The 23006-nt window shown below is 40.9% G+C and overlaps 1 protein-coding gene, 1 long non-coding RNA gene and 1 pseudogene across 5 annotated transcripts in view, besides 2 other annotated features; 1 reads left to right on the top strand and 2 right to left on the bottom strand.

The window, feature by feature from the left end:
- Positions 1-23006, bottom strand: part of FHDC1 (FH2 domain containing 1) — a 68333-nt gene that overhangs the window by 42335 nt on the left and 2992 nt on the right. For 2 of the 4 annotated variants that reach the window (NM_001371116.1, XM_047416337.1), the window contains exon 1: positions 928-1014. The gene's annotated coding sequence lies outside the window, so the exon portion shown is untranslated. Of the gene's footprint in view, positions 1-927; positions 1015-1201; positions 1451-18867; positions 18935-20252; positions 20330-23006 lie in introns of those variants that run through there. The other 2 variants (XM_047416336.1, XM_011532389.2) reach the window with 2 other exon arrangements.
- Positions 500-2821, top strand: LOC729870 (uncharacterized). The gene is made up of 2 exons (NR_136614.1): positions 500-688; positions 1887-2821. It is a non-coding gene; the product is annotated as an uncharacterized LOC729870 (long non-coding RNA).
- Positions 969-1058: a silencer, noted in NCBI's record as "silent region_15753". NCBI's record gives its function as "represses an Ori minimal core promoter by ATAC-STARR-seq in GM12878 lymphoblastoid cells {active_cell/tissue: GM12878}" and the evidence as "EXISTENCE:reporter gene assay evidence [ECO:0000049][PMID:35858748]".
- Positions 6686-6980: a silencer, noted in NCBI's record as "tiled region #1071; HepG2 Repressive non-DNase unmatched - State 22:ReprW". NCBI's record gives its function as "represses a minimal TATA promoter and a strong SV40 promoter by Sharpr-MPRA in HepG2 cells {active_cell/tissue: HepG2}" and the evidence as "EXISTENCE:reporter gene assay evidence [ECO:0000049][PMID:27701403]".
- Positions 8353-9924, bottom strand: FAM192BP (family with sequence similarity 192 member B, pseudogene; annotated as a pseudogene).

Genomic DNA, 23006 nt, shown 5'->3' with positions numbered 1-23006 from the left:
CGAAAGGGGGGGTCTTCCGGCTCGCAGACACCGGGTCTGCGGCGGCCGCGCGCTCCCAACCCACCCGGAGCCTCCGCCGCGACATCTTCCCACGTCCCCCATCCAGGTCGCAGGCGCGGGGGAAAAGCCTCACGGCCGCACTGCGGCTCTGCCAAAAGGGAGCCGGGTCGAGCCGCTGAGAAAAACAGAGGGGAGACTCCTGGCGTTTGAAACCGGTCAGAACCCGCTCTCCAAGAGCTGGGGACACCCCTTGTTTGGAGGCTGATCCCCAGCCCACCCGCTTCCTCCCCCTCCCCACACTCCTGCAGGCGCGGGGCGCAACTTGCAATCCGAACTTCGCGCGGCCGGAGCAAGTTTGTCGGGGCGAGAAGCGCCTGGTCCTCGGTCCGCACCACCGCACTAGGTCCCCGCCACCGCCCCACCACTGTGTCAGGGGCCAGGCGTGGCCCCCGGCTGGCTAGGGAACCGAGCGCGGCGCCGCGGCTGCGCATTCCGTGCGGGACGCCGCTGTCTCCCAAGGGTCGGGATAAACTAGGGGGCGGTTGATCTGAAAGTCTTAGCCACGACTAATAGTCAACCGCCCAGGTGCGACCCGCAGCAGCCTTGGCGATGCAGCTCGTTCTCCAGACGCGGGTCCACACCGGCGCGTCCTCGCCTCCAGGGACCGATCGCTGTTCTCCGTGGCCGGGTAAGGGCGGCCGCCAAAGTCACCGGGGTGGATGTGGAGGGAACTGGAACCTCCTCTCCAGCTTTCCCGGTGAGGCTCGGAGGAAGCCGAGACCCGGCACCCATCAGCCGCGCTTCTCGGCGCCTCAGCCTCGGGTCCCGGACAACACCCCAACCCTGACCCTCCCGAGCGGCGGGGCTCCAGCTCCCCGTGTCCCGCGCCGCGGTCGCCCCCGCCTCGGCCGCCCGACCCGCACTCACCCGCGGCCAGCGCGCCCCCGCTCCCGGCGCGCAGACCGCTGCAGCCTCCCGCCGTTGTGTCGGCGTAGCCGCCTCCTCCCGGTCACTGCAGGCCCAGCCAACCCTGAGCGCGAGGGGGCAGGGCGGGGCGGGGCGCAGCGGCAGCCTCAGGTAACAAAGCTGCGGCCTCGCTGCTCCTGGCCGGCCGGGAAGGGCAGCGCGCCCTTTCCTGCTCCGCCCCTCCCTCGCCTCCCCTTCCACCCTACGCGCGCCACCGTCACCGCCACGCGCTCACCTTCACCTGCGCGGGGCCCCGGGGGAGACGCCTCGGGGCACACTGCTTCCCGCACCCGAAGGCTGGTGCGGGGCTAGGCCGGGGGCCACCGAGAGAAGTAGGGGCGGCAGGAGACGGAGATAGCTGGGCTGCCCAGAAGAGCCAGGTGTCCTCGGGGAACGGGCGAGAGGAGGCGCCAAGCTGGCTTCTGAACCTGCAAGTGCCTTTCACAAAGGAGCCTTTGCGACAGCCTCCCAGGCACCCTCTCTTGTGCACACGGGCGCGCACACACTCTTATATACACGCGCGCACACACACACACACACCCGCACACGCCCCCCGACGCACGCGCCAGACCACCCTCTGCCCCAACACTTGCTTCTCCCTGGAGAGCTAGCAGCACTTGGGCGAACTGACCTGTCCCAACCCCTACAGCTGAAACCTGGCTGCGCTAGAGCTTCGCAAAGGTCAGCTCCTCCCTGGGGCCTGCCAAGCTGTAAATTTGTTACCGTTTTTTATTTTGTTTTTGTTTTTAATTCTCAATGATGATGGTAACAGAAACCTTTAGGTTGTATTAAAGCGTAAAAAGACCCCTCAAAAATTTTGCCAGGCCTCATCGAATGAACGCACGCTGTCTGGGAAAGGCACACTCCTCACAGAAAGAAACAGGGGAATCGATTTAATCACATTTTTTTTTTCTTCAAAGTGACTTGGGGCGCCAGTGAGAAGCAAGTAGTCAAAGAAAACATCCCGGGCAAACCGGCTGACCGAAAATCCACTGTCGGGGTAGGGAGGCGCCCTCTACGGGGATGAAGTCATCGCTACCTTTGACTCTTTGATCCTAGATAACCGACCAAGACGTTTCCAGCCTAATGCCTGACGCCTTTTGCTTCCTCCATCCTGGTCCTCAGTCCCTGAACTCCCAGGACAGAATTCCTGACCTCCTTGGTCAAGCCTTGGATCGAGAAAGAGAAACTATTAGTGTAAACAAACCAATCAACCCCAAAACCAAAACTGTGCCTGCCAATAGCCCATTTCTTGGCCATTGATGGTGCATGAAGAGAAATGGATCCAATTAAGAAAATCTTAAAATCTTAAGGAATAAGAAAATGTAATAAAGAGAAAGACAATGTCATGCTCAGGGAGCTAATATGAATCCCAAAGGAATATTGACTGTTCAGGCTCAAGTTAAATTACAGCAGATCGAAAGTGAGGAGTTGAGTGGCATCTTCTTTTCTCTTACTGTCGACCTTGTTAAATGGGGAGTCCACACCCCTTGCCTACTCCTCCCTCCTCAACCCCGTGACAGTGGGCCTCCCCCCAACTGTATTGAGCATGCACTCTAAAACAGTTACTTTTTGAGAAGTCAAGTCTGGTGACCCATTCTCAGCCCCTCATCCCTTTGATCTCCTTGGCAGCATCCTACCCTAAGGCCTTCTCTATGCTTCTCTGGACTTCTCTGCTGACCCTTCTCTTCCTTTGAGGACAGTAACAAGGTTTTTCCAACTCTCGATCTCCCAGTATCCCAAAGAAATACCTTCTGATTTCAAACTGAACCCATCCAGATGTCGTGGGACCTGAAGCTTGTATAACTCCTGGGGGAACTTCTTAAAGGAAAGCAATAAAAACTTACAAACATAATACTAGACATGTATCCTTGGAAGGGCCCAGGGAAAATGAGGGGCTTGGAAATTTGAGCTTCAAGGTATATCTCCGGGTTTCTCTTCAATGTCAGGGACTCTTGAATCCATATTATCGTTGTAAAATTTCAAGTCCAAATAAAAATATCCAAAAATCAACTCATCTTTCCCTCAAAACTAGTACTCTTCCCACACCCACCACCTCCCCCTCTTTACCTAAGACCTGGTTTTTCTGTTTGAAATCCTAGCTTTTCCTTTGCTTGTCTCTCTTAAATTCTTTAAAATTCAAGTATTTGCTAAATTTGCTGCTCTTTCCCAAGTAACCTGTTTTATTTTTCACATGCACCATCACTGCAGTAACCCCAAGTAGTGGAAGAGGGAACAAGTATTTATCTGCTGTTGGCCACATATCAGGCACCACACTTAATTCTCACCATGATCCTATAAGCATTCTGATTTCCTAGCTTAGAGAAGTTAAATTGGATACCTACATCCACTACCTTGGTGTTCTTTCTGCTTCTCTCTTCTTCCTAAATCCATCCCAAAACTGCTGTCAGGTCACTGTTTTTAAAAGTCTGATTTCATCACACTACCTACCTCTTCAAAACCTTCTGCAGATTCCCATGTGCTCCTACAGGAAGAAGGCAGCATTCTTCAGTCTGACAATCCGGCAGCATCCTACGTTTATCTCCCACAATTGGATGCGTCCCATTTCACTCAAGCAGTGGGACGTACTGCCCCTGAATATGTCATGCTTATTTTGACTTTTTTTTTTTTTTTTTTTTTTGAGACGGGGTCTCACTGTCGCCAGGCTGGAATGCAGTGGAGCGATCTCAGCTCACTGCAACCTCTGCCTCCCAGGTTCAAGCGATTCTCCTGCCTCAGCCTCCCAAGTAGCTGGGATTACAAGCATGCACCACCACACCTGGCTAATTTTTGTATTTTTAGTAGAGATAGGGTTTCACCATGTTGGCCAGAATGGTCTCAATCTCCTGACCTTGTGATCCACCCGCCTCAGCCTCCCAGAGTGCTGGGATTACATATGTAAGCCACCACGCCTGGCCTACTTTGACTCTTATTTTTCAAATTGTACATAGGATGTGGTCAAAAAGTGCTTGAATGAAGCATGGCGCAACTCTTCAATAGAGTTCATATCTTGATGGATTGGATCTAAAGCTGCAAAATCTAGAAGACAATTTATTCTTCATCTATTAATATGCTGATTGTCCATCTGTATCCCCCAAATGTGCCAACCAGCCTTTAAATAAGGCTGGAAAGGCTCCTGAAGCCCAGTGTGCCCAAAGTCTGCCCAGCTACTGGCATTCGTGGCTTGGAGGTGGCGCTGCTGCCACTGCAGGCCTCTTGAGCAGTGGGCAGTGTGACCAGCTCTCACTTTTCCAACCAGGCCAAACCTCCCAGAAAGTGTGTTAGATAACTCAGTGTGGCCCAGAAAATGGGTCTGTACCAGGCACTGGTACCAGGCCCTGCAGAAGAACTGCTGTGTTTTCCTGATTCGATTTGCAGCTTGCTCTTCCCTCTCCCTGGGTTGCCCTTTCCAGAATGCTTTATTTCCTACACCCAGTTTATTTTGATTCTTATGGCTTCTGCCTCCTTGGCCCAGAGAGGCTTTTAGTTTCTCCTACATCAAGTATTTTGTATTTCAATCTGTCATTAGGAACAACTAAACAAAGCCTTCAAAATGAATCAAATTTCAGAATCCATGTAAAACAGACTTTTAGTATTCGCTTAAGGAGTAAGAGTCTAATTCATGAGCTACTTCATGGGCCCTCTAGGGTACAGACTGAGATCTTTACTTAATCTTTAATCGTTATTCTTCTTAAAATATATATTTGATTAGATCAGTTGTTCAGTATTAAGATTCTAGGCTATCTTTGCCTTTTAAAATTGGAAACTGCAGAAAGAAACAAACTCTGTCCACATTATGGTTAAACAGATTTGCAGACAAATGCAAAGGCTTGCCAATCCTCTGACCTTGTTTCCTTCAAAGAGTGGCAAGTGCAAAATAAAATCAGCAGAATTGTTACTGTTACTATAAAATGCAAATTTGTATCAAATACCTTACTGGCAATTTTCCAAATAACTTTTTTTTTTTTTGAGATAGAGTCTCACTCTGTTGCCCAGGCTAGAGTACAGTGACACAAACATTCTCCTACCTCAGTCTCCCAAAGTGCTGTGGTTACAGGCATGAGCCACTGTGCCTGGCCCCAAACAACTTTTGAACTGAAAAATAATACTTTATTTCTGATTTTTTTAGTTTATTTTTAATTTTTTTTTAATAGAGACAGGGTCTCACTGTGTTGCCCAGGCTGGTCTCTAACTTCTGACCTCAAGCAATCCTCCTGCCTTGGCCTCCCAAAGTGCTGGGATTACAGATGTGAGCCACCACACCCAGCCAATACTTCATTTTTGAAGGCTAAGAAATTTAAATAGTAAGTTGCCTTTAAATACTGTAAGTAATGACTAGGCTCTGATCATTAAGAGGGAGAAAAGGGAGAAATATTTTTCTGAATGCTAAGTAGTGATTTTTGAAGTTTTTTTTTTTTTTTTTTTTTTTTTTTTTAGACAGGTTCTCGCTCCATCACCCAGGCTGGAGTACAGTGGCGTAGTTACTGCTCACTGCAGCCTCAACCTCCTGGGCTCAACTGATCCTCCCACTTCAGCCTCCCAAGTAGGTGGGACTACAGCCACATGCCACCACGCCCAGCTACCTTTTGTATTTTTTGTAAAGACAGGGTTGAAAGTTTAAAATAGAAAATGCTTCCACATGTGATGTTAGTATCTAAGGTAGCATCAATGACATTTGCCTTGCCAGAAGTAAATAGGGGTATTTTGTCAACAATAGTGCCTGATTTGTTTGAAGGTAGGAGAGATTAAAGACAACCTTTACCCAACATACAGGAATGAGGTAGTAAGATAATGTGATGACTCTCATGCCTGCCTATCTATACTGTATTTCCTTAGAGCAAATTGTCCATCCATTTGTTTTTCGTGTGTGTGTGTGTGTGTGTGTGTGTGTGTGTGTGTGTGTGTGTGTGTGTGTTTTAGAGGCTGGAGATGGAAGAGGAGACTAAGAAAAAAAAAACTGTAGATATCACTGAGCTTTCACCCAGAAAACCTCCAGCTAGAGCTCTTTTTAGTTTACAATTGACTCAGTGCTTAGAAAACTGGTTGGTGTTTGTGTAGGGTCTGGCTGTTATAACATTCAAACCTTGAGGAGAAAAATAGCTGTAAAATATAACATCAAAACCTATCATTTCTTTCCATTATTTACCACCAGAAAACAGTATATGAGTCTTAATAAGAGGAATTAAGTTAAAGAGTTTGTCAGATGCCAGTTTCTTTTGCTATGGGTTTAAACTGTTTTCAAATTGTTTACCCTTCTAAGAAGTTAGAAGAGCAAACAGTAATTTGAAACCATAACACACACAGTTTAAGCAGTCTCCAAACAAACCTAATCAATCAACAATATTAGAGAGAGAGAGAGAGAGAGAGAGAGAGTGTGTGTGTGTGTGTGTGTGTGTGTGTGTGTGTGTTTCCCTGGGGAAATACTATGTGCACACCCCACATAAGTCTTTGTAGGACATAGAAAGATGGGCAAAGGGACATGTTGGTGACTTAGCAATTGGTAAAGCCCTTTCTGCTCCCCTTGGAAATCGAGTGTGTGCTTAGTTTAGTGAACTAGCTCTGGACAGTTCTTTGCACTAAGCTTCTATAATGAGAAGGCAAATACTTCGGGTATGGTAGCAAATAATAAACCAGTCCACAACAATCAGAATCTTAATATTTCTCAAGCAGATTTATAGAAATAATTAAAATGAACCATTAAAAAGCAAAGGGGGCAAGCTTTTTGTCGGAAATACTATTATTCAAGTTTTGACTGGCCTTGGACACAAAGAGGATCCCTGTCAAACACTTAGCATCATAATCAGTTTACATCTACATCTCTTTGTGGGCCTGACCTGGCTAAAATTGAAGGGGGGTCTTTTGGGGTTAAATCTAGGACTCCTTTCATCTTAACTCCTAACTTGCTGGCCTCCTACTGAAAAACAAGGATCTGGTAATTAACTCAGAAGGGTTGGTATTAAATATTCAACCTTTTATCTAGTGTTTTTGTGCCTTTGATCAACTTTTGTATGTTAGATATTAAATTGTAAATGAGATAGTAAAAAAGAAGAAAATTTATCTGTACATTACAATGTATCCAATTAGTGGTGATTTCTCAAAACTATGCCAGAGAAAAGAGCAAAGAAGTTTACACTTAATCTGTCTTAAAATGTTGCTTGTTTTCCAAGTAATACCCTAGGCTTCCTACCTACCCCACCACTGTGTGGAAGGCACAGGTGAACACGTTTCTGCATTTTGGGGTTTTGAATTGTGCCCTGCTTCCTGTGGGGTGATTGATGGGCAGTGTCACTGCAGGCATCTGTTTCACACAGTTGGGGGCAGGGAGGGAGTGCAGGGCAAGCACACAGCTAAGCATAGGACAGTTTACACTGTCAAATGGAATTGTTTTCATGCTGGAAATGGCTTCACAAAAACAAGATACAATTTTTCTTTTCAGGAGAATTGAAAATTTTAAAGGACCAGAGAGAAGGGAAAGCAGAGAAAATACTAGATGTCCACACATCTTCATTTCTCCCTCCATGCTTCCCATGACAGATTCGAACATATTTTCTAGCTTTGCATTCCCTCCTTTACGGCATGCCTTCTTCACAGTTTATCTTATTCGATAAGGAGATTAATATCCAAGGGTGGCTACTTGCCTGCAGAGCATAATCAGGTTAAACATTGTCTATGGCAGGGGAAGAAGGCAGAGAAATTAATCCTACCTCAGCAGCTCCACTGCACGGGAACTCATAAAAAGGGGGTCTCTGGTGATCCCTGAACTCATGTACAGAGTCTACAGAAGTCCCTTGATGGTGCGAAAGGAAAGTAAATCTCGGGACCCCCAAATCACTAAGCCAAAGAGAAAAGTCAAGCTGGAAACTGCGTCGTTGGGCAAACCTGCCTCCCATTCTGTTTCTAAATGAGATAGCTACCAAGATTAAAAAGTGACATATCTCCCTCACAGTTTGCACACAAGGAAATCCCTTGTGGACAAAGGACAGACAGAACTCAAAGTCATCCCTCTGCTCATGTGAGACAAATGCATATCTGTGCTTCCTTTGCCTTATTGTTTCACTAAGCCAGACCAAGGTATAAGTGACTATTCCTCTATGCCCCCTCTCACATGTAAGTTGTGTATTTAGTAAAAGGTTAATCAGAGACTCAAAACAATGCAACCATTTCTCTCTTATCTACCTATGACCTGGAAGCCCCTCTGTGCTTCTCGTTGTCCCAGTTTTCTGGACTGAGCCAATGTACATCTTACATATATATTGATTGATGTCTCATGTCTCCCTAAAATGTATAAAACCAAGCTGTGCCCTGACCACTTTAGGCACATGTCATTGTGACCTCCTGAGGCTATGTCATGGGTGTGTCCTTAACCTTAGCAAAATAAACTTTCTTTTTTTTTCTCTAAAATTTAGAATCTTAAACTAAATCCTTTATTTCAAAAACAAACATAAAATAATTTCCCAAGCAGAGAAAAGGTTTGAGATGGAAGCTTTCTTGTTAGCAGTCCTTTCATGCATAAATGGGGTTGGATAGAGAGGGGAGAGGGAATGGCCAAGGATACGGAAAGCTTTCACAGTGCATGCCAAGTGTGAAGTGACACCCCCAGCAGATGACGTTTATCATCTTTACTTAGTCACACAACATCAAGGACTGGTGAGTTCCAGGGAAGGGCTCCATTTCATCACCCGGGTCAGTTCTCTTCCCCCACATGCTCCACAATGCAGTAGAACCAAACAACACATTCATCTACAATAGAATGTTTAAATAACACCTGTCCAATAACTGCCCTTACTTCTTTGTGTTGTTGGGGAAAAGTAAAAAACAGAAAGCAATGAAGCCTAAACCCTTTGGCAAGTCGACCGGTGCCTATTCTCCTAGGGCATTTTTAGTAGAACTTCAGCTGGGCCTTTCCCTCCTCCCAATATCAGTGAGGAAAGTGGCAGCAGGACAGGTTTGGTCATCTGCACTGGAGTAGAACGAGAAACCAAACACGATTCAGGCCACAGATGGATTCTAGCACATTTTTAGATTGGATTGGTTAAAAATGTCATGTTGTGCACAGGATGCAGGCAAAGGAGTTTTTTTTTGAGGGACATAATGCCTGTAAGGCAGCGTGAATGGTCCGATCTACCATTGGGGAGGAGCTCCCTGTGTAAGGACAGAGAAACTAGGGGCCTCAAGGAAGGTATTGGTTTGGAAGATAAAGGAGACAATCTTTCCGGTGGCATTGATGGTGCCTTCACTGTCTGCGCTGGACTCAGAGTTGCTGCTCCCAGAGTAGGTGCACAGGCCTGGGAGGATGCTGATACAGACTGCAGCAGAGGGGCAGTGGATGGAGGAGCCACTCAGGGAGGTGTTTCTGAGAGACTTGCAGGATGAGGGCTCTTGATTCTTGTCATCTGGCTCAGGGTCCGGTTTCAGTCTTTTCACACTGTTGTCACTCTCTGAGCTCTTACGCTTCACAGCTCCTGCCAACAGCTTCACCTGGGAGAACTTGTTCTTGGTTTCTAAGGGCTTCACAGTCAGTTTCTTTTCCACTTCCTTCTTGTTCTCTTGAGAAATTCCAACCTTCTTGAGGTTATTTCTGTATTCCTTCAGTTCTTTCAGTTCTTCTTCTCTTTGTTGCTTTTCTATTAGTTCCTGCTGTCGAGAAACCTCATCAAGGAAGTTGGTCTCATCTTCATCTAAGCCTCTTACCATGTTTTTGAATTTGAACTGTTCCTCATACTCCTGCTGCTTCCTGTCCTTCTGTTCCTGTAGCCTTTCATATAGAGATCGAGGGTCATAAACCTCCTCTGGACATTCTTCTGAATCTTCAGGTTTTCGAACTTTCTCCCATTCTTCTTGCCTCCTTTTGCACCATTCATCTAGTTCTGCCTCAGACACAAACCTCTTTTTGATAACAAGGTTACCATCATCCCCTCCATCCATAACGAAACAACCAATCGCCACTATAGAGTCCCGGCAAAATAAACTTTCTAAATTGACTGAGACCTGTCTCAGATATTTTGGGTTCACAATTGGCAACCACAACGGGATTCTGAGTGGAGGTTCCCCTGACCTTTGACAAATTTCTTATTGGTGCTTGGTACCAGCTTGAGCTTACTTTATGGCTCAAACCAATAGGATACTTGGCTGAGGCCTGGGAGCCTCCCGTTTAGAGAATCCCTGATCTCCCAAAACTTGGTCGAGATCTAAAGTTTCCTTGGCTATACAACCCCTCTTCTGGAGTTTCACTTGCTTCCAACAAGGAGAGCAAGTTTTCCTACTTCCATGACAATGGAAGGCAGGTAACTCTTTTGTGGAGTCTGAGCTCACTTCAAAACAATTTGAGATTTTTCCTGCTTCTAGGATGGTAGAGAGCAGTCTTCAGCCTGAGACCCATTCTTAGATAAGTAGCCGAATCAGGGTTCTGTCTTAGCTAAAGTTAAGATTCACAATCAGCTGGTCTTAAATTCTTACCATTAGAGTACTCAGTAATCATATAAATTGTGCAATTGTTTGTTTGATTTGCTTAGCTGTTTTTGTTGTTACTGTTGCTTGTTTGTATTTTTGTTGTTTTGTTTTTTTTTTCCCATTGGGTTTGACCAACTCTATCAGCCTTGATGAAATCCAAAGGAAAGTCCAAATTGTGGGGAACAAGGCCTCTGAATTGGCTAAATTCCCATAATTGAAAAAGAAAAAAAGGGAAAAAGAAAAAACGGCCAGCAAAAGAAAAAAAAAGGGAAAGATTTTTTATTTAGATTACCTAAAGGGCTTCAGTTACATAACAAGGCCACCTTTTTTTTTTTTTTTTTAACTAACCAAGCCAAACTAAAAAAGCAATGGCATCACCTCACACTGCAGTTTGGTAACTAAGGTTCTGCCCTTTTTTTTTCATCACATCAGCCTGGGTTTTGTTCCTAAATCAAGCCCTTTCTGGTTTGGTATTCGTGTAACTTTTGAAATATCAGCAATGTGTCCTAGCTAAAATATGGAAATGAGATTTAAAAGAATTTTTTTTAGGGAGCTTAATGGTTAAAAGTCAGCTTAATTAAAAGCTAACATCCAAGATGTGTTTGTGTGTATTGTTTGTGTGTGTGTGTGTGTGTGTGTGTGTGTGTGTGTGTCTGTATTTTAAAGGCCTTCATGTTTTGTTTTGTTTTTTTCCCTCCTAGGACCTTGGTTTGTTTGTTTTTATCAAGTTTTTTTTTTCTTCTCAGTGGACTGAATCTGTTTTTTCATTTGTTTCTGCTGTCTCTCCTTTTTCTTGCCACCCTCTGCTGCATGAGGAACCTAAAATAGTTTCTAACAGCCTGTTTCTAACAGGCATTCCTTAAAGAAAACAGAGGAGGTGCCAGACTCTCTTTTGGGGAGAAACCTCTGTTTTTCCTTATGGAATCCCAAGAGCGTAAACAGACAAGTTCATCTCAGGTCTTAAACTCCTTGCTTTTGTATTATGTTACCTGGTTTCTTCTTCTCCTTCTCCTTCTCCTTCTCCCTCCTCCTCCTCCTCCTCCTTCTCCTCCTTCTTCTCCTCTCCTTCTTCTCCTTCTTCTCCTTCTCCCTCTTCTTCTTTTTCACTAAAATAGTTACTATAACAGAGGTTACCCTTGGGAGTTTAAAGTAAGGAAGAGTATGGATTAGACACTTAGGGAAATGTCTTTGTTAAAAAAAAAAAAAAGGAGGATGCACTGTAAAAGCATCATGTGGTCTTAGCCTCATATTAATTCTCTTTTTGGAGACCCAGGATTCAGTGTGGGCTCAGTCCAGAGGAGATCCAGTTTAGAACTACCTATCTAAATAAAATTGGTCTTCTTATACAATCCTATGATAGATTTCTATAATTTTATGTTTGATTTGGCATTTGTTTTTAATTTCCCTCTATTTCCATCAGACTCTTTCTCTCTGTACCTTGAGATGTAAATTTAGCTATCTGATTTTTTCACCTAAGAGTTCCTTTAATGTACAAATTTAGGGCTATCTAGCTGACAACTGCCTAGGGTAATAAAATAGGCTACCAAGAAATTGGAAGTCTAAAATAGAAGGAAAAAAAGGTCTTATGAACCTAAAAGATCTACTTCTGTCTGCATGTCTAATACATCTACGCATTTATGTGTCATATGTTTCATTGCTAAAAATATATAAAAGAGGTCTAATTAATTGGCTTAAAGAAAAAAAGAGTTGCTTTAAATCAAATACCTTATCAGAAAAAATAGAGACTTTAAGTCAAATGCTATTTCAAGTTCATGTAACTTGAATAAATCTTTAGTAAATAAGCTGGTTTTAAAGGCATTCATGAACTAGAAATTAGAAACGGCTCCAGAATCGTCAACATACATTATTGTTTAAATTTAATTTTTTATTTATTTTTCTTCTTTTTTTTTATTATACTTTAAGTTTTAGGGTACATGTGCACAATGTGCAGGTTAGTTACATATGTATACATGTGCCATGCTGGTGTGCTGCACCCATTAACTCATCATTAGCATTAGGTATGTCTCCTAAAGCTATCCCTCCCCCCTCCCCCCACCCCACAACAGTCCCCAGAGTGTGATGTTCCCCTTCCTGTGTCCCATGTGTTCTCACTGTTCAATTCCCACCTATAAGTGAGAATATGCGGTGTTTGGTTTTTTGTTCTTGCGATAGTTTACTGAGAATGATGATTTCCAATTTCATCCATGTCCCTACAAATGACATGAACTCATCATTTTTTATGGCTGCACAGTATTCCATGGTGTATATGTGCCACATTTTCTTAATCCAGTCTATCACTGTTGGACATTTGGGTTGGTTCCAAGTCTTTGCTGTTGTGAATAGTGCCGCAATAAACATACGTGTGCATGTGTCTTTATAGCAGCATGATTTATAGTCCTTTGGATATATACCCAGTAATGGGATGGCTGGGTCGAATGGTATTTCTAGTTCTAGATCCCTGAGGAATCGCCACACTGACTTCCACAAGGGTTGAACTAGTTTACAGTCCCACCAACAGTGTAAAAGTGTTCCTATTTCTCCACATCCTCTCCAGTACCTGTTGTTTCCTGACTTTTTAATGATTGCCATTCTAACTGGTGTGAGATGGTATCTCATTGTGGTTTTGATTTGCGTTTCTCTGATGGCCAGTGATGGTGAGCATTTTTTCATGTGTTTTTTGGCTGCATAAATGTCTTCTTTTGAGAAGTGTCTGTTCATGTCCTTGGCCCACTTTTTGATGGGGTTGTTGGTTTTTTTTTCTTGTAAATTTGTTTGAGTTCATTGTAGATTCTGGATATTAGCCCTTTGTCAGATGAGTAGGTTGCGAAAATTTTCTCCCATTTTGTAGGTTGCCTGTTCACTCTGATGGTAGTTTCTTTTGCTGTGCAGAAGCTCTTTAGTTTAATTAGATCCCATTTGTCAATTTTGGCTTTTGTTGCCATTGCTTTTGGTGTTTTAGACATGAAGTCCTTGCCCATACCTATGTCCTGAATGGTAATGCCTAGGTTTTCTTCTAGAGTTTTTATGGTTTTAGGTCTAATGTTTAAGTCTTTAATCCATCTTGAATTAATTTTTGTATAAGGTGTAAGGAAGGGATCCAGTTTCAGCTTTCTACATATGGCTAGCCAGTTTTCCAGGCACCATTTATTACATAGGGAATCCTTTCCCCATTGCTTGTTTTTCTCAGGTTTGTCAAAGATCAGATAGTTGTAGATATGCGGCGTTATTTCTGAGGGCTCTGTTCTGTTCCATTGATGTATCTCTGTTTTGGTACCAGTACCATGCTGTTTTGGTTACTGTAGCCTTATAGTATAGTTTGAAGTCAGGTAGCGTGATGCCTCCAGCTTTGTTCTTTTGGCTTAGGATTGACTTGGGGATGCGGGCTCTTTTTTGGTTCCATATGAACTTTAAAGTAGTTTTTTCCAATTCTGTGAAGAAAGTCATTGGTAGCTTGATGGGGATGGCACTGAATCTATAAATTACCTTGGGCAGTATGGCCATTTTCATGATATTGATTCTTCCTACCCATGAGCATGGAATGTTCTTCCATTTCTTTGTATTCTCTTTTATTTCCTTGAGCAGTGGTTTGTAGTTCTCCTTGAAGAGGTCCTTCACGTCCCTTGTAAGTTGGATTCCTAGGTATTTTATTCTCTTTGAAGTAATTGTGAATGGGAGTTCACTCATGATTTGGCTCTCTGTTTGTCTGTTATTGGTGTATAAGAATGCTTGTGATTTTTGTACATTGATTTTGTATTCTGAGACTTTGCTGAAGTTGCTTATCAGCTTAAGGAGATTTTGGGCTGAGACGATGGGGTTTTCTAGATATACAATCATGTCATCTGCAAACAGGGTCAATTTGACTTCCTCTTTTCCTAATTGAATACCCTTTATTTCCTTCTCCTGCCTAATTGCCCTGGCCAGAACTTCCAACACTATGTTGAATAGGAGTGGTGACAGAGGGCATCCCTGTCTTGTGCCAGTTTTCAAAGGGAATGCTTCCAGTTTTTGCCCATTCAGTATGATATTGGCTGTGGGTTTGTCATAGATAGCTCTTATTATTTTGAGATATGTCCCATCAATACCTAATTTATTGAGAGTTTTTAGCATGAAGGGTTGTTGAATTTTGTCAAAGGTCTTTTCTGCATCTATTGAGATAATCATGTGGTTTTTGTCTTTGGTTCTGTTTATATGCTGGATTACATTTATTGATTTGCGTATATTGAACCAGCCTTGCATCCCAGGGATGAGGCCCACTTGATCATGGTGGATAAGCTTTTTGATGTGCTGCTGGATTCAGTTTGCCAGTATTTTATTGAGGATTTTTGCATCAATGTTCATCAAGGATATTGGTCTAAAATTCTCTTTTTTGGTTGTGTCTCTGCCCGGCTTTGGTATCAGGATGATGCTGGCCTCATAAAATGAGTTAGGGAGGATTCCCTCTTTTTCTATTGATTGGAATAGTTTCAGAAGGAATGGTACCAGTTCCTCCTTGTACCTCTGATAGAATTCGGCTGTGAATCCATCTGGTCCCGGACTCTTTTTGGTTGGTAAGCTATTGATTACTGCCACAATTTCAGAGCCTGTTATTGGTCTATTCAGAGATTCAACTTCTTCCTGGTTTAGTCTTGGGAGGGTGTATGTGTCGAGGAATTTATCCATTTCTTCTAGATTTTCTAGTTTATTTGTGTAGAGGTGTTTGTAGTATTCTCTGATGGTAGTTTGCATTTCTGTGGGATCAGTGGTGATATCCCCTTTATCATTTTTTATTGTGTCTATTTGATTCTTCTCTCTTTTCTTCTTTGTTAGTCTTGCTAGTGGTCTATCAATTTGTTGATCCTTTCAAAAAACCAGCTCCTGGGTTCACTAATTTTTTGAAGGGTTTTTTGTGTCTCTATTTCCTTCAGTTCTGCTCTGATTTTAGTTATTTCTTGCCTTCTGCTAGCTTTTGAATATGTTTGCTCTTGCTTCTCTAGTTCTTTTAATTGTGATGTTAGGGTGTCAATTTTGGATCTTTCCTGCTTTCTCTTGTGGACATTTAGTGCTATAAATTTCCCTCTACACACTGCTTTGAATGTGTCCCAGAGATTCTGGTATGTTGTGTCGAAATTTATTGGTAAAATGATTTCATATTTATCTCTGCTAGATGTCAAAATTTGGCATGAGGGTTATAAAGCTATGAATGCAGCCCAAAGGAAAATTATCTTTGCTTGTGCAAAATTTGATAAATAAGGTATTTAATATTGTTCAGTTAATGGAAACAGCTAAACTCTGAGTTATTGGCAAAAAGGAAGGAAGGGAAAAAGGGAGGAAGGGAGGGAGGGAGGGAGGGAGGGAGGAAGGAAGGAAGGAAGGAAGGAAGGAAGGAAGGAAGGAAAGAAAATATTTATCTAACTGTAAGGTTCTTACTTAGGAAAACCTGAAATTCACAGACTATAAAAATGATTAACTGGGAAATAACATTAAATGATAACTATCACAGTTTTCATAAGTAATCTGGGTAAAATATTAAAAAATTAATTAGATAAATGTGATGAATAAATCCTTGTAAATAAACTTGTCATATAAGTTAGAATCTAAAGTTATATTAAGTTAAATAATGGATACTCATTAAATGTCTGGGTCATTTCCAATTTTTTAAAAATATATATTATAGGAAAATATTTTTTCTAAAAAAGAAATGTGTTCTTATTTAAAGGAAAATAATTTTTGTCTAATTCAAAAGTTATTTAAAAGTTATTTATGAAATAAGGTAAAAGTAACCAGTAAATAAAAGCAAGGTAAAGGAAGTTATAAATATAACAGGTATTTTTAGCAAGAAAGGTTAAAAGGAAAATAATTTTATATGAGAAATAATTTTATATGGTAGATTTCTGCCTTAGAATAAAATGACTGGTTGTTTAAGAAAAAGGGATGTTCAGGACAAACCAGAAAGTCCAAGCATGTCATGAATGGTCTGTGTAAGTCATAACAAGAGGATTTAAGGAAAAAACTTATATATGATCAAGTTGTCTATAATTAAAGGGAAATTATTTATAATGGTCTTTCTAGAGATTGGGTTTTTTTTTTTAAAAAGACACTTATATACTAAAGAATTCGGTAGAACAATGAAATTTTCTTAAGGTATTGATTTACTTTTAATAAAATTACAAGAGATTTTTATTTTTTTAACCCAAAGTTTAAACTTTTATTGCATCTCACTGTTTTCAGCTTTCTCTCCTCATTTTAAAGGCTTAAAATGATAACTCTATCCTTCAACTAATTTTTAGCTCCCATAAGTTTTATTTGTTTGGGTTCCAACTGTTTGTTGTGGCCTGATGCTAAAAATGTTTTATCTTAAAGGAAATGCTTCCTTCCAACCTAATATTCTGTGCTCTTGGCTTTAAATTGTTTTACAAATCAGAAAATTTTCACTATGACTCAGGAAACACTTCCTATGTCTAACTAATTCAAGTACCCTTTTCATTAGTTTTGACTTGAAGGTTATGACTTATCCTCAGTTTTTTATTGGCATCAAGGTTTTTAACAAAAGTCATATACTATTCTACCTTTAGCCAAAGTTCTTGAGATAACCAAGGAAGACACATTTTATGTGTGTGTGTGTGTTCTCTGTCACAATCAGTCAATTTCTTCTTCATCAGATTGCAAAAATAGATACTATAATAAAGAACTTCCCAGGCCAGGTGCAGTGGCTCACGCATGTAATCCCAGCACTTTGGGAGGCCAATGGGGGTGGATCACCTGAGGTCAGGAGTTCAAGACTAGCCTGACCATATGGTGAAACCCTGTCTCTACTAAAATACAAAAAATTGGCCAGCTGTGGTGGCAGGCACCTTGTAATCCCAGCTACTTGGGTGCTGAGATAGGAGGACTGCTTGAACACAGGAGGCAGAGGCTGCAGTGAGCCAAGATTGCGCCACTGCACTCCAACCTCGGCAACACAGAGAGTCTCCAAAAAAAAAAAAAAAAAAAAAAAAAAGAACTTCCCTACCAGAATTGCCTTCCAATTCCAGAAAGCCATGTTTGTAGACTCTGTCTCCCCTGGGTGACCTTGAAACACCCATGCAACCCAGTCCTTGTGTGCCTGTAGTTAGAATCCACACACTTGAACAGGTAGGCTAACTCGTTATTAACTTATTTTCCTTCTAAAAAATGGCAGCAGTTAGACTGGCCTCTAAATCAAAACTAAAGTCATATAAATTGCTAAATGTTCTAGCCAACAATGACCCTAATGACCTAGAAGCTTCAGATGAATTCTGCCACTTCAACTGTCCAAATATATTCTAGTGCTACTAGGTAAAAAAGAGTCAAGCATTCTATGTTAAGAATGTCTGGTGGGGAAAAAGAAAGTATTAAGATTCAAAGGCTACACAGAAATAATATTGTACTATATTTAAGATTTATGTGAGATTTATTTGGCAACATGGATAGGACCATCTTCACTGACCTAGCTGCCATGGTAGAATGGTAAAATGCCTTCTTCCCCACCCAACAAACACACATGCTCAGAATTAAGACATTCCAGTCTGGAGCTGAAGGCTGGCTGCCTCCATCCTCAACCACTAATTGTATATTCTCCACACTGATCCCTCCCTTCTCCTGACCATTCACTCCTTATGATTTGTATGGACTTTCTCCCCATTAAACCCAAAAGTTTAAGGGCAAGCCTGTCTTATTCAACTTCACATCTTTGTAGTATTTACCTTCAAGGCTCGACAGCTGTTAGTAGTCAATGTATTTTCACATTGCTTGTGATTTTCATCACCAGCAAATGTTGCCAGTGGGCCTCCAGTCATTGAAGGCTAAGTGCCCCAGCAATGCTAATTATCATTATTGAAAACATTGAGTGACCTTTACGTGCAAAGCACGAGGAGGGCTACAAACATGTTCAAAACAGTTCTTGCCCTCAAGAGGCTTCTATGGGCCAGAAGCAAATCTGCTAGATCCAAGCTCTTTGAAGCCTGATCCTCTTCAAGGTGTTAGTGGAATCAGGTGGTGAAAGTCAACGTGGGTAAGCTGACCAGTCAGCCATTCAGCAAATACTCATGACCATTTAAACTTACATTTAAAAAATAATCTACTTGATAGTACCAGTGAGTTAAGATGTAAGAGTGCATGAAGGGAACAGCCAGGTATCATAAGATTTTAGGTGAACCAAGAAATGTAGACTTATACAGGCCAATTAAGTGAAACCTTTCAGAAGACATGCTGATGCTCCACCCAGAGCAACGTGGCTCAGTGTTGGACTGAAAAACAACTCCAGCTTTGACACAGTTTGGGAAGAAGAGGGATGGATTGAGTTCTTTCTTCAGAAATTTGATAAAGTGATCAGGCAAAGAGGACTGAGAATTGAAGCATGTGGCTTTGATCCTCCACTTCTTTTAGGGCTACGCCAAAGAGATGGGGATGCCTGCTTTTAAACAAGACTAAGTATGGCCTTGATAAGACAATTACCTGGCTCTGCCATGGCTTGGGCTAACACGTTTCCATAAGCTAGGTGTACAGGATTCCAAAGAGGCTACTGTAAGGAAAAACAAAACCATAATAATGAAAAGTCAGCAGACTAGAAATGAAATTGTTGAAGTTAGTTCACTACTAGTGAATGGGAATTCACATAAAAATGAGCTAAAAGAACTAAACAGGCAGAGTTCTTCCTAGAATAAATCAAGGTCAGTGTTGAGGTCACTGGCAAGGAAGTCTGGAGTGGCTTGGACTGAAGCTACTTGTGTTTGGGGAAAAAAGACTTGTTTTCATTGCTCTAGTCATAAGCATAAATAGTGACTCCAAAAGCTTGAAAACTTGAAGACAGCACAATAGCCTCTTAGTATGTCATTATATATTTTTTAAAAGAACAAAGGGGCAAGTTAGGGCCACAGCCTACTATGAAGCTTTAATACTTGCCTTTCCCTTGTGAGTTTAGGCAAGGTCTCTTATAGACACACACAAAATTTTGTCATTAGACATGGCTGTTCATTTGCTATTTCTAACGAATTTTTTTCCTCATTTTATGGCTGGCTTCATTGGAGAAAAATATTAACTAAGCTTCACAGAGAAAATATGGTGAACCTTTTCAGAGAAACAAAATTTTGAGAAAAAAGAAATTGTTAGTGCCCACTTCAGGAATCATCTGACCCTCTTCAAGGTGTTAGTGGAATCAGGCGGCGAATGAAAGTCAACACAGGCAAGCTGACCAGTCATTCAGCAAATACTCATGACTGTTTAAACTTACATTTTTTTTTTCTAACTCACTTGATAGTACTAGTGATTATATAGTAACCATTGCCATGGTTAAAACTCAATTCTCCAAACATTGCCTGGCCTTTTTGCTACTTCTGTTATTGATATAAACTAGTCAGAAAATTTTAATCCATAGTATTTTCTTTGTTCTTATCTGAGATGGGGTGGGGAATTGGAAAAAGAGAATTTGAGAACAATATAAATAAATATCCTTTACTTATTTGAGGAATGCTTTAAAGAGTTAAGCAATTTTATTAATTTTAGAAGTGTGAATTAGGGAAAACGTGGCCATCTCACAAAATATATTTTTGGATTGGAAATAACCATTATTAAAAATTACCAGTGTATAAATACTTATTTTTAAGCGGTCTCAAGTTGTTATAGTAAATAAAGCTCTAAGCAGCTTCATTTAAAAAAATCTATAGTAGTACAGAATAGTAGTATATGCTAATTTACAAGAGGGCAAAAAAATTGAGACAGAAAAAACCATCATTATTAGGCTAAAAGAAAGTTAGTGTTTTGTTTTTGAATTTAACTTCCCTTGAACTTTCAAATAGCTATTTAGAAAGCATCAATTTGGGGCCGGGAACAGTGGCTCATACCTGTAATCCAGCACTTTGGGAGGCTGAGGCGAGAGGATCACTTGAGCCCAGCCTGGGCAACATGGCGAAACCTGTCTCTACAAAAAATACAAAAATTAGTTGGGCATGGTGGCACATACCTGTAGTAAATATAGCAATTTTTTCGAAAAGCTTCAATTTGGAAATGAGCCGAGGAGAAAAAACAAGAGAAAAAGGTCCAGTTTAGTGAATGCATGTTTTCCTATATGGAATCTTTTTACATAGTCATATCCTAAACTATTTTTGCCTCTTCACTTGTCCTGTACTCTTTATTGACAAACTGCTCAACTTTATGCTTACTTGAATTTCTGTTTCCAAATACAAATCAATTTATCTCCCATGCTAGAGGAGAAATTGTAGTATCTGTAGGAGTAGAGCAAGTGGTGTCACTCTCTATACAAAAAAAAGCCTCTGATTGCAACCCTGGTGCAAGAGGAAAGATTTAGTGGGTCCTGCTGCCTTTCTGGACCAAATATCCTTTTTTTTTTTTAATGTTATTATGAAAAACATTTTTAAAAAGAAAAAGACTAGTACTATGGAACCCCACATATCCACCCACTTATTTCAACAATTGCTAACATTTTGCCATATTTACTTTGACATCTTTCTCTCCTTTTTCTCTTCCAGCTTTCTCTCCATATATGTGAATACATATGAATGTATGTATTTTTGCTGAGCCATTTAAAGGTAAACTGCATACATCATGCCACTTTGGCTTTAAGTAGTTTAGGCATGCATTCCTAATAAAGCTGTTCCCCTATATTACCACAATATAATATCATACCTAAAAAAACATAAGTTCCTAGCAGTGTCAAATACACACTCAAGTGACTCAGTTTTTCCTTCAAATGTCTTATATAGCTACTTTTTTTGAATTATGATCTCAAATCTTTTGTTTTCTAACAGTATTACTAATTTTTTTTTTCTTTTGTGATGGACTTTTTGAAGAAACCAAGCCAATTATGTTGTAGAATGTCTCAGATTCTGGATTTGTCCAATTGATTCTTCTTGGTAACATTTAAATTGTTCCTTAACCCCCTGTATCTTCTGTACACTGGAATTTAAGGTAAAATACTTGATTAGCTGCAGATTGAACAATTCCAGCAGAAATACGTGATACTGTATAATTTATATCTCATTATATCCAAGGCACAATGATTACTATTCATGATTCTAAATTTGATCACAATTTAGGTTGTAAGCACAAATCTCTTCTTATTAATGGTACTTTTTCCCATTTCAAATTGAGCCATTTGTAGGGTAATACTTTGGTATTATGGAAATAGTCTGTTTTCCATTAATCTCTCACCTAATGATATTAGCATCCATTGGCCATCCCTGTGTAAATCAATTATTTCAGTCATGGTTTCAACATGGTGATTTCTCTAATTCTGCCATTCTTTCTACTACAGAAAGAATGGCCATTACAGAAGAACGGCTATTTAAAAAACTGGCCACTCTTCTGTAAACATCCTACTGTCTTAGGTAACATCCTGACATTAATTTAGAGTAAGTTATAAGTGTACTGCCTCTTTGTAACTCATTCAAATGAAATTGCAGTGCAAGCACTGAATATTTTTCTGCATTTGAATTTTGGATCAAAAAAACAAATTTTTATACATGGCTCCTTTGAATTAAGAACTATACAAGGAAGCCTGGCACAGTGGCTCACGCCTGTAATCCCAGCATTTTGGGAAGCCGATGCGGGAGGAATTACGTATATTGAAGGAGTCTGAGGCCAGCCTGACACACATGGCGAAATCCTGTCTCTACTAAACGCACAAAACTTAGCTGGGCCTGAGCAACAGAGTGAGACTCTGTCTCAAAAAAGAAAACTATGCAAGGAGTTGGGGATACAGGGTGAATAAGACAGCCTACCCCGTGCTTTTCTTAAGAGCTGAATGTCTAGTCATAATAAGTATATATTCCTCAAAGGAAAGAATAATTATCTGCCTAAAGCCTTAGGCAGTTTTTATAAAAAGCTTCCTAACATAGAATCAGAAATCATTTAGGAGGAGAATAACAGTAAAGTAGCATATATAAATAATTTATCTTGAGTACTTTATTATTCTAAGGCTTCATAATTTAAAAACTTTTCAGGAAGGCTGGCAAGATTAAAGTTACCTTTCCTCTCACTACTCTATAATGCTTTACACTCATTTGAAAAAAAAAAAAGTTTTTACAGAGTTTGCTTTTAGTAGAATGTCAATAATCAAAGCTTCAAGATGTAGTGAGAGGTATATGGCTATGGTTCTTCTTCCTATGTGCCCTATACCAGCTAGATGTACATTTCACCTGTAAGTTATTTATATGAACATATACACCTGTACCAAAGGCAAAGTGATATGAAAGTCTAAGTCATAGAAAGTTACTTTTAAAATCGACAAAATGGTATCCTGTTCCTCTTACATCTTCCTTATGAATCAACAATTCATGCAATCTTTGACAGAGTTTATGGCAAAGCCTAGCTTGGACCCAAACAAAACTGTGATTTTGGTTCTTGTGGAACAGTTTCCGTTGTTTAAAAAACCCAGAATTCTCAGTTCTGATAGCATACTAATCAATTAACTGCACAAGAGTAGAGTTATGGTGCTCAGACTGGACCTAATTCCCTCATATTTCTAGTCTCCTTTTTCCCTACCAGAGCTGATACCAGACTAACAGTCCTCACTTAACATACATAAACTACTAAGAGTCAAACTTTATTTCATGAAAACAAAGCTGAACTTTGTCGTT

This window comes from Homo sapiens, chromosome 4 (assembly GCF_000001405.40).
Source record: "Homo sapiens chromosome 4, GRCh38.p14 Primary Assembly".
Taxonomy (NCBI): Eukaryota; Metazoa; Chordata; class Mammalia; order Primates; family Hominidae; genus Homo; species Homo sapiens.
This window is presented reverse-complemented; position numbering and strand designations above follow the sequence as displayed.